The 16,234-nt window shown below is 38.8% G+C and overlaps 1 long non-coding RNA gene across 2 annotated transcripts in view; it reads right to left on the bottom strand.

Moving 5' to 3' along the window:
- LOC105369850 (uncharacterized) overlaps positions 1 to 16,234 on the bottom strand; it is a 55,530-nt gene that overhangs the window by 33,971 nt on the left and 5,325 nt on the right. For both annotated transcript variants that reach the window (NR_188081.1, NR_188080.1), the window contains exon 3: positions 10,695 to 10,750. This is a non-coding gene — a long non-coding RNA (uncharacterized LOC105369850). The remainder of the gene's footprint in view (positions 1 to 10,694; positions 10,751 to 16,234) is intronic.

Below are 16,234 nucleotides of genomic sequence, written 5' to 3'. Positions count from 1 at the left end.
AGACCAAAGTCATGAAGCTTTTAACGTTTTCTTCTAGGAGTTTTACTATTTTGAGTCTGATGTTTCTAATCTATTTTTATTTTTATTTTTTTAAGAGACTGGGTCTTTCTATGTTGCCCAGGCTGGTCTTGAATTCTTGGGCTCAATTGATCTTCCTGGCATAGCCTTATTTTTTTTTCTTTTTCTTTTTTTTTTTTTTTTTTTGAGACAGAGTTTCGTTCTTGTCGCCCAGGCTGGAGTGCAATGGCGCGATCTCGGCTCACCGCTACCTCTGCCTCCCGGGTACAAGTGATTCTCCTGCCTCAGCCTCCCGAGCAGCTGGGACTACAGGCATGCGCCACCACACCCAGCTAATTTTGTATTTTTTAGTAGAGACGGGGTTTCTCCATGTTGGTCAGGCTGGTCTCAAACTCCCGCCTCAGGTGATCTGCCCACCTCGGCCTCCAAAAGTGCTGGGATTACAGGCGTGAGCCACCGTGCCCAGCCTGCCATAGCCTTCTAAGAAGCTGAGATTATAGGCACCACCACTTAGACCACATTTGGAGTTTACTCTGTGGATGGCGTTAGATAAGGGTCCAATTTCTTTTCTCTCTTCTTTTTTTTTTTTTTGAGACGGAGTCTTGCTCTGTCACCAGGCTGGAGTGCAGTGGCGCCATCTCAGCTCACTGCAACCTCTGCCTCCTGGGTTCAAGCGATTCTCCTGTCTCAGCTTCCCAAGTAGCTGGGACTACAGGCATGCACCACCACACCCAGCTAATTTTTGTATTTTTAGTAGAGATGGGATTTCACCATGTTGGCCTGGTTGATCTCAATCTCCTGACCTTGTGATCCATCTGCCTCGGCCTCCCAAAGTGCTGGGATTACAGGTATAGGGTCCAATTTCATTCTCTGCATATAGATATCCAGTTTTCCCAGCACCATTTGTTTAGGATAACATCTATTCCCCATTGTGTTATCTTGGCACCCTTGTCAAAAACCTGTTGACTGGGCCAGGTACAGATGCCTGTAATCCCAGCATTTTGGAAAGCCAAGAAGAGAGGATCACTTGAGGCCAGGACTTTAAAATCAGTCTGAGCAACACAGTGAGACCCCATCTTCACAAAAAAATTTAAAAATTAGCTGGACCTGGTGACACATGCCTGTAATTATAGTTACTGGGGACGCTGAGGCAGAAGGATCCTTGAACTCAGGAGTTCGAGGCTGCAGTGAACCATTATTGTGCCACTGTACTCCAGCCTGAGCAACAGAGTCAGATTCTGTCTCTCAAAAAAAATTAAAAATAGACCAGGGACAATGGCTCATGCCTGTAATCCCAGCACTTTGGGAGGCTGAGGTGGGCAGATCACTTGAGGTCAGGAGTTCAAGACCAGCCTGGCCAACATAGCGAAATCCCATCTCTACTAAAAATACAAAAATTAGCTACGCGTAGTGGCGTGCACTTGTAATCCCAGCTACTCGAGAGGCTGAGGCAGAAGAATCACTTGAACCTGGGAGGCAGAGTTTGCAATGAACCAAGATTGTGCCACTGCACTCCAGCCTAAGTGACAGAGTGAAACTCTGTCTCAAAAAAATTAATTAATTAATTAAAAATAAATAAAGATGGCCAGGCACGGTGGCTCACACCTGTAATCCCAGCACTTTGGGAGGCCGAGGCAGGTGGATCACGAGGTCAGGAGATTGAGACCATCCTGGCTAACACGGTGAAACCCCATCTCTACTAAAAATACAAACAAAAATTAGCCGGGCATGTTGGCAGGCACCTGTAGTCTCAGCTACTCGGGAGACTGAGGCAGGAGAATGGTGTGTTGACTGTGTATGTGTGAATTTATTTTGAGGCTCTCTATCCTGTCCCATTGGTTTATGTTTATCTTTATGCCAGTACCTACTGTATTAATTACTGTAGCTTTGTAATATATTTTGAAATCAGAAAATGTAGTGCCTCCAGTTTTGTTCTTTCTCAAGATTGATTTGGTTATTTGTGGTCTTTTATAGCTCCATATGAATTTTAGAATTATTTATTCTATTTTTATTTTAAAATGCCACTGGGATTTTGATAGGAATTCAGTGAGTCTGCAGATCATTTCAGGAAGAATGAACATTTTAATAATATTAAGTCTTCCAATCCATGAACATGGGATAACTTTCCATTTTCCTGTGTCTTGTGCACCTTTTTTCATCAATGTTTTGTAGTTTTTAGAATAGAAATCTTTCATCTCCTTAGTAGGTTTGTTCCTACGTATTTTATTATTTTTGGTGCTACTGTAAATGGGATTATTTTTCTAATTTCCTTTTCAGATAGTTTATTGTTAGTGTACAGAAATGCAATTGATCCTTGTTGATTCTGTATTCTACTACTTTACTGAATTTGTTTACTTGCTCTGACCTTTTTTAATTTTTGAATTTTTAAATTTTTTGTTGTGAGGTAGTTGCCAGCTTTATTTACCACCAACTAAATCAACATTGTGCTCTGTTACTTAAACTTACATTAATAAAAGTATATAATAATAGTTCTTGGCCTATATGCCACTTATTTCCATGAATATTCAAAAACTACAATTTATCAATATGGTAATATACTACAACCTTCTCTCAGCAAGCATTTACCTTCACTGTCTACTGTTTCAGGCTCTTTGTAGGTACTGGGTAAACAAACATGACTAAGACATGTTCCCTGCCCTCAAAGAGGACAAATTATCTGGGTATTTTCTTTTGAAATGTGTTGATATTGTCGCTACATCAGAGTCATGGTAATAATTGTGTTCTAACCTTTTTTAAAGGAAGTCTTTGGGTTTTCTATATATGAGTATGTCATCTGCAACCAGGGACAATTTTATTTCTTCCTTTCCAATTGTAAGTCTTATATTTCATTTTCCTTTTTTTTTTTTTTTTTTCTGAGACAGTATTGCTCTGTCACCCAGGCCAGAACGCAGTGGTGTGATCTTGGCTTACTGCAACCTTCGCCTCCTCAGTTCAAGTGATTCTCCTGCCTCAGCATCCAGAGTAGCTGGGATTACAGGTGCCTGCCACCACGCCCAGCTAATTTTTGTATTTTTAGTAGAGATGGGGTTTCACCATGTTGGCCAGGCTGCTGCTCTTGAACTCCTGACCTCAGGTGATCTGCCCGCCTCGGCCTCCGAAAGTGCTGGGATTATAGGGTGTGAGCCACCACACCCAGCCTATATTTCATTTTCTTGCCTAGCTATTCTGGCTAGAATCTCCAGTACTGTGTTGAATAAAAGCGGCAAGAGTTGGCACCCTTGTCTCATTTATCTTAGAGGAAAAACTTTCAATTTTTTTCTGTTGAGTATGATGTTAGCTGTGGGCTTTGCATATATACTTTATTATGTTGAGATCATTTCCCTCTATTACTATGTGTTGGAAATTTTCATCAACAAAGCGTTTTTATCATGTTGAATTTTGTGAAATGCCTATGTATCAACTGAGAGAATCATGTGATGATTATTTTTTATTCTGCTAATATGCTGTATCAGATTAGTTGATTTCATATATTGAAATCTTTGTATCTCAGGCATAAATTACACCTGGTCATGGTGTATGATCTTTTTAATGTGCTGTTGGATTTGTTTTGCTAGTATTTGTTGAAAATTTTTACATCGATATTCTTTAGGAATATTGAGCTGTAGTTTTCTTGTGGTGTCTTTGTCTGTCTTTGGTATCAGCATAAAGCTGACCTCATGAGTTTAGAACCTTTCCTTCCTTTTTAATTTTTCTGAAGAGGTCAAAAAGGATTGACATTAATTTGTCTTTAAAGTAGAGTTCACCATGGAAGCCTGGTCCTGGACTTTTCTTTTTGGGGAAGTTTTTGATTATTGAATCAATCTCCATACTAGCTATTGGTCTGTTCAGGCATTCTATTTCTTCCTGATTCAGTCTTGGTAGGTTGTATGAGCAATTTATCCATTTTTTTCCAGTTTATCTAGTTTGTTGGCTTATAATTTTTCATAGTAGTCTCTTATGACCTTTTGTATTTCTGTGGCATCAGTTGTAATGTCTATTCTTTTATTTCTGATTTTACTTATTTGACTCTTCTTTTTCTTAGTCTAGCTAAGAGTTTGATTTTAGTTATCTTTTCAAAAAACCAACTCTTAGCTGTGCTGATTTTTTTCTATTATGTTTCTATTTTCTATTTCATTTACTCCTAGTCTACTGTTTGTTATTTCCTTCTTTTTGCTAATTTTGGGCTTACTTTGTTCTTTTTTTTCTACTTCCTCAAGGTATAAATTTGGGTTGTTTATTTCAAATCTTTCTTATGTTTTAATGCACCTGTTTATCACTATGAACTTAGTACTGCTTTTGCTGCAGCCCATAAGTTTTGATATGTTGTGTTTTTGTTTGTCTAGAGGAATTTTTTTTTTTTTTGAGATGGAGTCTTGCTCTGTTGTCCAGGCTAGAGTGCAGTGGTGTGATTTTGCTCACTGCAACCTCTGCCTCCCAGGTTCAAGCAATTCCCTGCCTCAGCTTCCCGAGTAGCTGGGATTACAGGCGCCTGCCACCAAACCTGGTTAATTATTGCATTTTTAGTAGACACGGGGTTTCACCATCTTGGCCAGACTGGTCTTGAATTCCTGACCTCGTGATCCACCCACCTTGGCCTACCAAAGTGCTAGGATTACAGGCATGAGCCACAGCGCCCGGCCTGTCTATAGAGGAATTTTCTGATTTAACTTTTGATATCTCCTTTGACCAAGTGGTTATTCAGAAGTGTGTTAATTTCCATGTGTTTATGAATTTTCCAAATTCCTTCTTCTATTGATTTCTATTTGTTTTCATTGTATTCAGAAAAGATACCTGATACGATTTCAATCTTCTTCTTTTTTTTTTTTTTTTGACACAGTCTCACTCTGTCACCCAGACTGAAGTACAAGTGGTGCGACATTGGCTCACTGCAACCTCCACCTCCTGAGTTCAAGCGATTCTTGTGCCTCAGCCTCCCCAATAGCTGGGATTACAGGTGCACGCCACCACACCTGGCTAATTTTTTTGTATTAGTAGAGATGGAGTTTTACCATCTTGGCCAGGCTGGTCTCAAACTCCTGACCTCAAGTGACCCACCTGCCTTGACCTCCCAAAGTGTTGGGATTACAGGTGTGAGACACCATGGCTAACCTGAATCTTCTTAATAATGCTAAAATTAGTTTAGTGACTTAACATGATCTATCCTGAAGAAAGACCTATATATGCCTGAGAAGAACGTGTGTTTTGCTGCTATTAGGTGGACTATTCTGCATATGTCTGTGATGGCCATTTGATCTAAATTGTAGTTCAAGTCCTGTTTCCTTATTAATCTCCTGTCCAGATGTTCTGTCCATTATTGAAAATGGGGTATTGAAATCTCCTGCTATTATTGTATTGCTGCCTATTTCTCCCTTCAGTTCTGTCAATGTTTGCTTTATGTGTTTAGATGCTTTGATATTGGGTGCACATATATTTACAATTGTTATATATTCCTGGTGAATTACCCTTTGATTATTATACAATGTTGTGACGGTTACTACTGACTGTCAACTTAATTGGATTGAAGGATGCAAAGTATTGATCCTGGATGTGTCTGTGAGGGTGTTGCCAAAGGAGATTAACATTTGAGTCAGTGGGCTGGGGAAGGCAGACCCATCCTTAATCTGGTGGGCACCATCTAATCAGCTGCCAGTGAATATAAAGCAGGCAGGAAATCATGAAAAAGTTAGACTGGACTAGCCTCCCAGCATACATCTTTCTCCCATGCTGGATGCTTCTTGCTCTCGAACATTAGACTCCGAGTTCTTAGGTTTGGGACTCTGACTGGCTTCCTTGCTCTTCAGCTTGTAGACACCCTATTGTGGGACCTTGTGATCATGTGACTTAATAATATATATGGAAGTTTATTATATGTCCATATATATGTACATATATATATATATATATATATATATATATCCTATTAGTTCTGTTCCTCTAGAGAACCCTGACTAATACAAATGTTCTTCCTTGTCTCCTGTGACAGGACAGTTTTTTACTTACAGTCTGTTTTGTTTAATATAATCACTCCTACTCTCTCTTGTTTACTATTTGCATGGCATATCTTTTTCTCTTTTTTCTTTTTTTGAGATGGAGTCTCACTCTATTGCCCAGGCTAGAGTGCAGTGCTCCTGCAACCTCTGCCTCCCAGGTTCAAGCAATTCTCCTGCCTCAGCCTCCTGAGTAGCTGAGATTACAGGCATCTGCCACCATGCCCAGCTAATTTTTGTATTTTTAGTAGAGACAGGATTTCACCATGTTGGCCAGGCTGGTCTCAAACTCCTGGCCTCAACTGATCTGCCTGCTTCGGTCTCCCAAAGTGCTAGGATTACAAGCATGAGCCACTGTGCCCAGTTAGCATGGCATATCTCTTTCCATCCTTTCAGTGCAGTTTATGTGTGTCCTTAAGTTAAAGTGAGTATCTTATGGACAGTGTATAGTTAGGTTTTTATTTTTAATTCACTCACCACTATATGTCTTTTGATTGTGGAGTTTAATTTATTTGCATTTAAATTATTATTACACTTACCTCCTACATCAAAACCTAATTGTAACATTTTAGACATATGTCCAGATGTATTCCACTATTGAAGCAGTGTTGCCTTCTGCCATGATTGTAAGGCCTCCCAAGCCATGTGGAGCTGTGAGTCAATGAAACCTCTTTCCTTTATAAATTACCCAGTCCCAGGTATTTCTTTATTAGCAGCGTGAGAACAGACTAATACAGTAAACTGGTACCAGTAGAGTGGGGTGCTGCTGAAAAGATACCTGAAAATGTGGAAGTGACTTTGGAACTGGGTAATAGGCAGAGGTTGGAATTGTTTGGAGGGCTCAGAGGAAGACAGGAAATATGGGAAAGTTTGGAACTTCCTAGAGACTTGTTGAATGGCTTTGACCAAAATGCTGATAGTGATATGGACAATAAAGTTCAGGCTGAGGTGGTCTCAGATGGAGATGAGGAATTTTTTGGGAACTGGAGCAAAGGCCACTCTTGCTGTGCAAAGAGACTGGTGGCATTTTGCCCTTGCCCTAGAGGCCTGTGGAACACTGAACTCGAGAGAGATGATTTAGGGTATCTGATGGAAGACATTTCTGAGCAGCAAAGCATTCAAGAGGTGATCTGGGTGCTGTTAAAAGCATTCAGTTTTATGCATTCACAAAGATATGGTTTGGAATTGGAACTTCTGTTTAGAAGGGAAGCAGAGCATAAAAGTTTGGAATATTTGCAGCCTGATGATGCAATATAAAAGAAAGACCCATTTTCTGAGGAAAAATTCAAACTGGCTGTGGAAATTTGTGTAAGTATCAAGGAGCCAAATGTTAATTTCCATGACAATGGGGAAAATGTCTCCAGGGCATGTCAGAGGTCTTCGCAGCAGCCCCTCCCCTCATAGGCCCAGAGGCCTAGTGGGAAAAAATGGTTTTGTGGGCTGGCCCCAGAGCCTTGCTGCTTTGTGCAGTCTTGGGACTTGGTGCCCTGCATCCCAGCCATGGCTAAAAGAGGCCAATGTACAGCTCAGGCCATTGCTTCAGAGGGTGCAAGCCTGAAGCCCTGGTGGCTTACACATGGCATTTGGCCTGTGGGTGCATGGAAAAATTGAGGTTTGCAAACCTCCACCTAGATTTCAAAGGGTGTATGGAAATGCATAGATGTCCAGGCAGAGGTGTGCTACAGGGGCAGAGATCTCATGGAGAACCTCTGCTAGGGCAGTGTGGAAGGGAAATGTGGGGTGGGAGCCCCCACACAGATTCCCCACTGGGGCACTGCCTAGTGGAGCTGTGAGAAAGGGCCACTGTCCTCCAGACCCCAGAATGGTAGGCCCACCAATAGCTTGCACTGTGTGCCTGGAAAAGCCAGAAACTCAATGCCATCCTGTGAAAGCAGCCAGGATGGGGACTGACTGCATCCTGCAAAGCCAGGGGCAGAGCTACCCAAGGCCATGGGAGCCCACCTTTTGCATCAGCATGCCCTGGATGTGAGACATGGAGTCAAAGGAGATCATTTTGGAACTTTAAGGTTTAGTGACTGCCCTATTGGATTTCAGATTTGCATGGGGACTGTAGTCCCCTAGTTTTGGCCAATTCCTCCCATTTGGAATGGGTATATTTACCCAGTGCCTTAACTTCCATTGTATCTAGGAAGTAACTAACTTGCTTTTGATTTTACAGGTTCATGGGTAGAAGGGACTTGCCTTGTCCCAGATAAGACTTTGAATTGTGGACTTTTGAGTTAATGCTGAAATGAGTTAAGACTCTGGGGGGACTGTTGGAAAGGCATGATTGGTTTTGAAATGTGAGGACTTAAGATTTGGGAGGAGCCAGGGTAGAATTATATGGTTTGGCTGCATCCCCATCCAAATCTCATCTCAAATCGTACCTCCCATAATTCCCACACATCTTGGGAGGGACCTGGTGGGAGGTAATTGAATCATGGGGGTGGGTCTTTCCTGTGCTGTTCTTGTGATAATGAATAAGTCTCACGAGATCTGATGGTTTTTTTGTTGTTTTTTTTTTGACAGTCTCGCTCTGTTGCCCAGGCTGGAGTGCAGTGGTGCCATGTCAGCTCACTGCAACCTCTGTCTCCCAGGTTCAAGCGATTCTCCTGCCTCAGCCTCCTCAGTAGCTGGGACTACAGTCACGCACCACCACGTGCGGCTAGTTTTTTTGTATTTTTAGTACAGACAGGGTTTCATTGTGTTGGTCAGGATGGTCTTGATCTCCTGACCCCGTGATCTGCCCGCCTTGGCCTCCCAAAGTGCTGGGATTACAGGTGTGAGCCACTGCACCCAGCTGTTTTTTTTTTTTTTTTGAGACAGGGTCTTGCTCTGTTGCCCAGGCTGGAGTGCGGTGGCACGATCTTGGCTCACTGCAATCTCCACCTCCTGGGTTCAAGCGATTCTCCTGCCTCAGCATACCTAGTAGCTGGGATTACAGGTGCGCGCCACCACACCCAGCTAATTTTTGCATTTTTTAGTAGAGACAGGGTTTCGCCATGTTGGCCAGGCTGGTCTCAAACTCCTGACCTCAGGTGATCTGCCCACCTCAGCATCCCAAAGTGTTGGGATTACAGGTGTGAGACACTGCACCTGGTCGATCTGATGGTTTTATAAAAGGGAGTTCGCCTGCACATGCTCTCTCTCTTGCCTTCCACCATGTAAGATGTGACTTTGCTCCTCATTAGCTTTCCGCCATGATTGTGAGGCCTCCCAGCCATGTGGAACTGTGAGTCAATTAAACCTCTTTCTTTTATAAATTACCCTGTCTTGGGTATGTCTTTATTAGCAGCGTGAGAACAGACTAATACACATTCCATTAAATCTCCTATAGGATTTGGTCTCCATTTACTTCTTCAACTTAATTTCCAGCTATGCCAGTTTTACTCATGCTAATATGTATTTCAGTTTCTAGCATAACCCGATGCTCAGAAGATGACTAATAACTATTGAAAAATTAATGCATAGAGATTGAATTAAGTTTTATATATTTTTCAGGTGAAATGTCTAAATGGAGATTATAATAATTTGTGATTATATATGTGACTATGTTCTTCAGGAGAGAGAACAAGGCTAGAGATATCTATTTGATAGATTAACAAGAATTAGAACATAAAATGTATTCTCTTTTCTCCTCCCTTTTTTGGGAAAAAGATATAGAGTGAAGAGAGAAGGCTGAGTATGGAATTGTGGGGGAAATTAAAGAAGCTGTAAACTTTCAAAGGAGACTGAGAAGTCAGAAAGGTAGGAAGAAAACCAAGAGGATATAATGACTCAAAAACTAAAGAAGAAGGTAATTTTTGCCCAAAAGCAAACCAAGAGACAAAGAAGTTGCCAATTGGTAAGGGCTGCCAAAGTGAAAAGGCTAATTGGATTTAGTGCCAAGGTAATCTTGAGCCACAGGTAAGATGCATAGGCAATGGAAATCAATAGGCAAAAGGAAATCAGTAGTTACTTCTTCGAAGAAGTAACCAGCTGGACTGATGCCCTGGCAGCCTCCCATGCTGGAATGTACCAGTCTCATGTTGATGGTGATTCAGAAGCTGTATCTGGGCTCAGCGGAAAATAGTGATTTTCTTTTTAAAATAACCTTTTATTATTATAAAACCAGCATATGCAAGTAGAAAGTACAAAACTACATATCAGCAAAATAAAACAAAACAACCCCCTTTCCAGAGATTAACAGTTCGGTGTATATCTTTCCAGTTCATTATTTATTCCTATATATGCACATAAATATATAAATATATTTTTACCAAAATGATACCATACTCAATGTGTGGTTTTGTAACCTATTTACTTTTTTAAATTAACAATCTTCACCTTTCCAAGTGAATACATTTTTATCTTATCTAAAACCCAAATTCAAATTTTTCCATTAGTCTCCAAAATATCTTTACTTTGAAAATTAGTAATTAAAAGCAAAGACTTATTATTTACTTTTCCTTTCCAGTAGGAGTTATATTTCAGGGTAACCAAATAGTTCCAGGTAATAAAGGCAAGCTCTAGGTTACCAAAGAAAGTCAGAATGTAGAAGGAATGATATATTTATAATTGTTTTGCAATTCTTATTGAAATTACTGACTCATGTAAGGGTTTTCAATAAGTGTTAAAGCATAAGGTTTATGTTTGAAGGGGAACTGGACATCTGTGTAGTATCAAAGCAATGCCATACAAATTACTTACCATAGTTTACAATGGAGGGATGAGCCTGTCATCATATCATCAATTCAGCTGTCATTCTAAATATCAATAGTTGTACATTAATCAAATAGCATGAAAGATACTATATAAAAATATATAACCTGTAAGTATTCTAGCCCTAAATGTTTAACTTGAATTCGCCTGAAATCTTTATATCTATCTTACTTGTTTCAAAGAAAGATTTCAAATAAATATTTCAAAAAGCCATTTTTACACCCAAAATCATAGATAAGATGTTCTGGGTTGCTAAGCAACACTGTGAAGGCAAAAGAATAATAATAAGGACATGTGTGCATTACTGCATCATCCTTAGATGTAAGTTTTGTTTTTGTTTTTATTTTTAGAGCCAGTCCCCTCTTTCTCTGTTGCCCAGGCTTGAATGCAGTGGCACAATCATAGCTCATTGTAGCCTTGAACTCCCGGGCTCAAGTGATCCTCCTGCCACAATCTCCCAAGTAGGTGAAATTACAGGCATGTGCCACCACACATGGCTAATTGTTTTATTTTTTGTAGAGACAGGGTCTTGCTATGTTCCCCAGACTGATCTTGAACTCTCGACCTCAAGTGATCCTCCCACCTCAGGCTCTCAAATTGCTGGGATTGTAGACGGGAGACACAGTGCCTGGCTGATAAGTTTTATTTACTGTAATTTGTTATACTAAGAAATAAGTGTGGCAAGAGGGGACTGGCTGGGAATGCTAACTCCATGTATTGTAAGAGGAGGTCTGGCTGGAGATTTACTTGAATGGAAAACATAACTCTGAAATTTAGTGTTTCCTGGTTGTTAAGGAAGTGGCTTTCATTTTCACATCACATGAAAGATCCTGATACGTACATATTAGGGGTTGTGTAGATTATTACATAAAGCTGCATAATGGCCTGAAGTCATGCCTGCCTATGTATCTTCTATAAACCTCAGAATCAGGCCAGTTGCTACAAAAGCCTTGTTATCAATGAGAGGATGGTAGAGTGTATGGTCTGTGTGTAATTTTTCTCCAACTGGGTGTAGTGAAAATACAGTTAGTAATATTGTATAGAACATAATATTCCCAAAAGGTAGTGACCATAATAGTTTATATTTCTTGAGTTCTTTAATTCTTATAATATTATAAAAGAGTTTTTTTTTAAACTCCTGTTTTACAGATGATTTTACAGATGACAGCCTTGGTGGTAAATGACAAAGCTAGGGTTAGAACTGAGATCTGTCTGATTTTGGTGTTAGAACTCAAACACACTGCACTATACTACTTCAGTGAATCAAATTTGTATTAACTTTGTAATTTTGGTTAAAATGTATTTTGAGGTTTTCTGTGGACCCAATAGTAATACTAACTTATAACAGTTTCTGGGCTATCACTGCGAATTCAATGGAAATCAAAGTACTTAGTTCTTGTCAAATATTAGCACTGAAGAAATAAAACATTAACAGAATATTTCGATTTTTTTAAAACACAGTCACTGCTATTCTAGGCAAAGCCTAAATTTTTATTTGACATTTTTTTTGCTACTTTTTATGAATTTGACAGTTGTGCATTTGGAATCTGTTCAAATTCTATTTGTAGCTGAATCATGTGAATGCCAATGCCAACGAGATCAGTACATCTGCTTCTTAGCATCTCTAGAGTAATCTGTATTTGCAGAATGCTTTATATAAATTTGAACATGCTAACATGCTCAATCAGATTTATTTACCACCAGTCTTATGATGTTAGGCCTTCCATAGTGGTTTAATAGATGTTTGGAGCAAATACCAGGTAGGCAGCATGGGCTGCTTTTGATTTGAACACTTCTACTAAAAAATAATAATAGATATGATAAGGAGAAAATGATTACTGTATTTGGTTAAGGGTAGAAAATAACAAGTAGTAATACTTTCCCATGGAATTGACCGACAGGTATAAAAAAGAAAGTGACATACTCTGAAAGTCTTCTTTTTTTTTCTTTCCTAAAGCAGGGACCCAGTAACATTTTAGAATGTCTTTAGGAAATGAGACATTAAAAAAACAAAAACCATAATCATGTACCATTATCACAACTAAGACAATTAACAATAATTCCTTAATATCCTGTAATATGTAGTTGGTATTAAAATTTTCCTGATTGTCTCATTATATCTTTTTATAAGTTGTTTGAATTGGAATCTGATAAAGGTAAAGATCCACGTATTGCACTTGGTTGATATATCTGGTAAGTCTATTTTAAATCTCTAACAGTGCCCTCCCTTTTACTCTCTTGCCTTTGTTTGTTGCACGAAGGTCATTTTTCTCTGGAATTTTCCCCGCCCTCAGTTCAGATAATTGTATTCTTTTGGTGTACTACTTTAGTAACTTAAGGAAGGGGTGGGGGGCTTAGGACACAAAGAATGTCAGGTCCAAGTCTATTTGCTGACTGCAGAAGGAAGTGGGGAGTATAACAATGTGCGATCATGGGGTGGAGTTGGTGGCCATGTCTGGAAGTGAGCTGACATTCAAAGATAAAGTCTTCAATAGAGGTATATCAATCCCAGTTCCAGGAGGATATTACAGGGATTAAGGATTAAAGGATACAATTAAGGGAATGAGACTGGGAGTCTGGTCTCAGCTGTGCATGTAAGAATACCAGACAAAAGTAAGGCTCCCATAGAAATGGACTGGAAACAACTAGGGGAGAATATCAACAGGGCCTAGAACAGAGGAATGAACGTGACAGGAATGTAGTGGACAGACTTTATTGGAATATAGGGTAGGCGCCTTCTTTTTCCACCATATCACTTCTGGGTACCAGTGTTCTGTAGAGGTAAAAGAGGCACTAAATACCTGGGAGATCTGGCAAAAGACATCTAGGTAGTACCTGTGGTTGGGAGGATTGAGTAGATGGTTGCTACCTGATAATGCGGTAAGAATATACGGCACCTTCACTCCCAGAACAGTAACAATGAGTTTTGAAATACTGCTGGTTTATAGGGTGAGGACTCTTGTTAGCTTTACACTCATTTCAGGAAAGAGGTAGAACAACATACAGATACTTGATAATTTTTTTTTGTAAGTAAGTGTAGGACCCAGTACAAACTGATAACTTATTAAATTGAAAGAATTAATATACAACCTGGTTTATGAAAATTTAATTACTGTGACTTCTCAAGAGTTTCATATACTTGTATAAATACAGGCTGGACAAAGCTAACTGGAATAATCTTGTAATTAGCTAGCAATCTAGTAGCTAATAGGAATACTAGTAATGTATACACTTTTACATATATTAAGAGATATAAATAAAAGTCATTTGGACAGTCTTCTATAAAATTATAGATTTGGTTTTATCAAGAAAATATTCTAGGGTGTGGTGGTTCATGCCTGTAATCCCAGTGACTCAGGAGGCTGAGGAGGGAGATCACTTGAACCCAGGAGTTCGAGGCTGTAATGCACGCCACTGCACTTCAGCCTGGGTGACAGAGTGAGACCCTGATTCTAAAACAAAAACAAAGTAGTATATAAGTAAATATACTTTGAATGATCTCGTGGTTGAGGGGAAAAAAGAGAAAGGTTCTGGTTTAAAAAAAGTAAGGTATAATTCATTTGCATTATACTTACAGATTTGGAAATCTAAGGGATTATGTGTTCTAAGCTTCCCATGTTTAAATAGTCATGATAAACTTAAAAAAAAAACACTCTCCTAAAATTGAAATGAAAAACACATTTACAATTGGAAATTTGTAGTCTAAGTAGCTATCAGAAATGGGTTCTTATTATTATTAGAATTTATTTTGAATTTAGGATGTCCTCTGAATTGAGTTAAAACTCAGTAGTCAATCCTTATACCTGCGCACAAATTTCTAGCTATTTCCCAAGATGGTGTTAAAAGTCATAGCATGCACATAATTTTGAATAGGCAACGTGGGTGGAAAGGGTAGGCAGAGCATTTCAATAAGACTTAATTGTCTTTAACCTGTGAATACATAATTATATAATTTGTTATGATGAACTTTCATTTATAGACTTCTATGGAGGGAATCATTAATACTTCATAGTTAAGTGAAAATAGTATATAATTCTGCTTTTTATTACTCTAAATCATGATCTCCTAAATATATGCTACTTTCTTAGTCTAATTATGTAATACATCATCTTCACTGGTACATTATGTAAATTTGAAATAAGAATGTCATTGTGAAGAAAAACACTTAAAATGCTGTTATTTAAAAAGAGAATACCAATAATATATTAATACAATTTGCCTCTATGGATGAGAAAAGAAGAAATGTATCATGTTTTTGCTTTTAAAATAAAAGGTATGTATCAGATGGAGATAATAGTACTAGTTTGTAAAATACTTTGTCTAATGAGGTCTAATAGTAGGCATAAAATGCAAATTTGGTTGGGTCTATTTCTAATGTTAGATATGTGATTTTTTTTTCTTTAAAAAAACTTATTAAAATAATTTTAACAATACTTACTGTTTGTTTGCATTGTCAATTGTATTTAGATTTAGGCAAATATCTACCACTCTTAATGCTCTTCGTTTATTATCAACTCTCAGACCTTCCATTTGAGTTGATTTTCTTCTTCTTCTTCTTTTTTTTTTTTTTGAGACAGGATCTCTCTCTATTACCCAGGCTGGAGTATAATGGTGTGATCATGTCTCACTGCAGCCTTGATCTCCCGGGCTCAAGCAGTCCTCCTACCTCAGCCTCCCGGGTCAGGACCACAGGCACACATTACCATGCCCAGCTAACTTTTAAATTTTTTGTAGAGATAAAATCTCAATATGTTGTCCAGGCTGGTCTCAAACTCCTGTGATCCTCCTGCCTCAGCCTCCCAAAGTGCTGTGATTTACAGGCGTGAGCCACTGTGCCTGGCCTGGGATCATTTTCTTTTTGTCTGAAAAAAGAAATTTCTTTAGACTTTCCTTTAGCGAGACTCTATTAGCGGCAAATTCTGCTTTTGCTTGCCGGAAAATTCCTTTATTTTGGCCTCATTCTTGAAATAATTTTTTCACTGGGTACTGAATTCTAGGCTGACAGTCATTTTCTTTTAGTCCACTGAAGATATTATTCCACTGTCTTCTGTTTTTCACTGGTTCTGATGAAAAGTCATTTACCTGACACTTTGAAGATTAACTATATTTTTTCTTTGTTGCTTTTAAGGTTTTCTTTTTTGTTTTTGGTGTTCTACAGTTTCACTGTGATATATCTCAGCGTGGTTTTATTATTCTTTAACTTGCTTGGGATTTGGGAGGCTTCTTAAGTCTGTGAGTTGGAGTCTTTCATCAGTTCTGGAAAGTTCACAACCATTATCTTGTCAAATACTGCCTCTGGCCCACTGGCTCTTTCCTTTTCATCTGAAGTCATAATTAGATTTTAGAGCTGTTTACAATGTCCTCCATGTCACTTAAAGTCTCTTTTATATTTTTAATTTATGTTTTCTTTTTTTATTGCATTTAACTTCATCTTTATCTTCCATTTCATTGGCTTGTATTTCTGCTGTGTCAAATGAACTACTAAATTTGTCCACTGAGTTTTTATTCTAATCATTTATGTTTTTCAA

The sequence above is a fragment of the Homo sapiens genome, chromosome 12, assembly GCF_000001405.40.
Source record: "Homo sapiens chromosome 12, GRCh38.p14 Primary Assembly".
In the NCBI taxonomy this organism is placed as follows: Eukaryota; Metazoa; Chordata; class Mammalia; order Primates; family Hominidae; genus Homo; species Homo sapiens.
The sequence above is the reverse complement of the archived record's forward strand: the minus strand, read 5'-3'. Positions and strand labels throughout refer to the sequence as shown.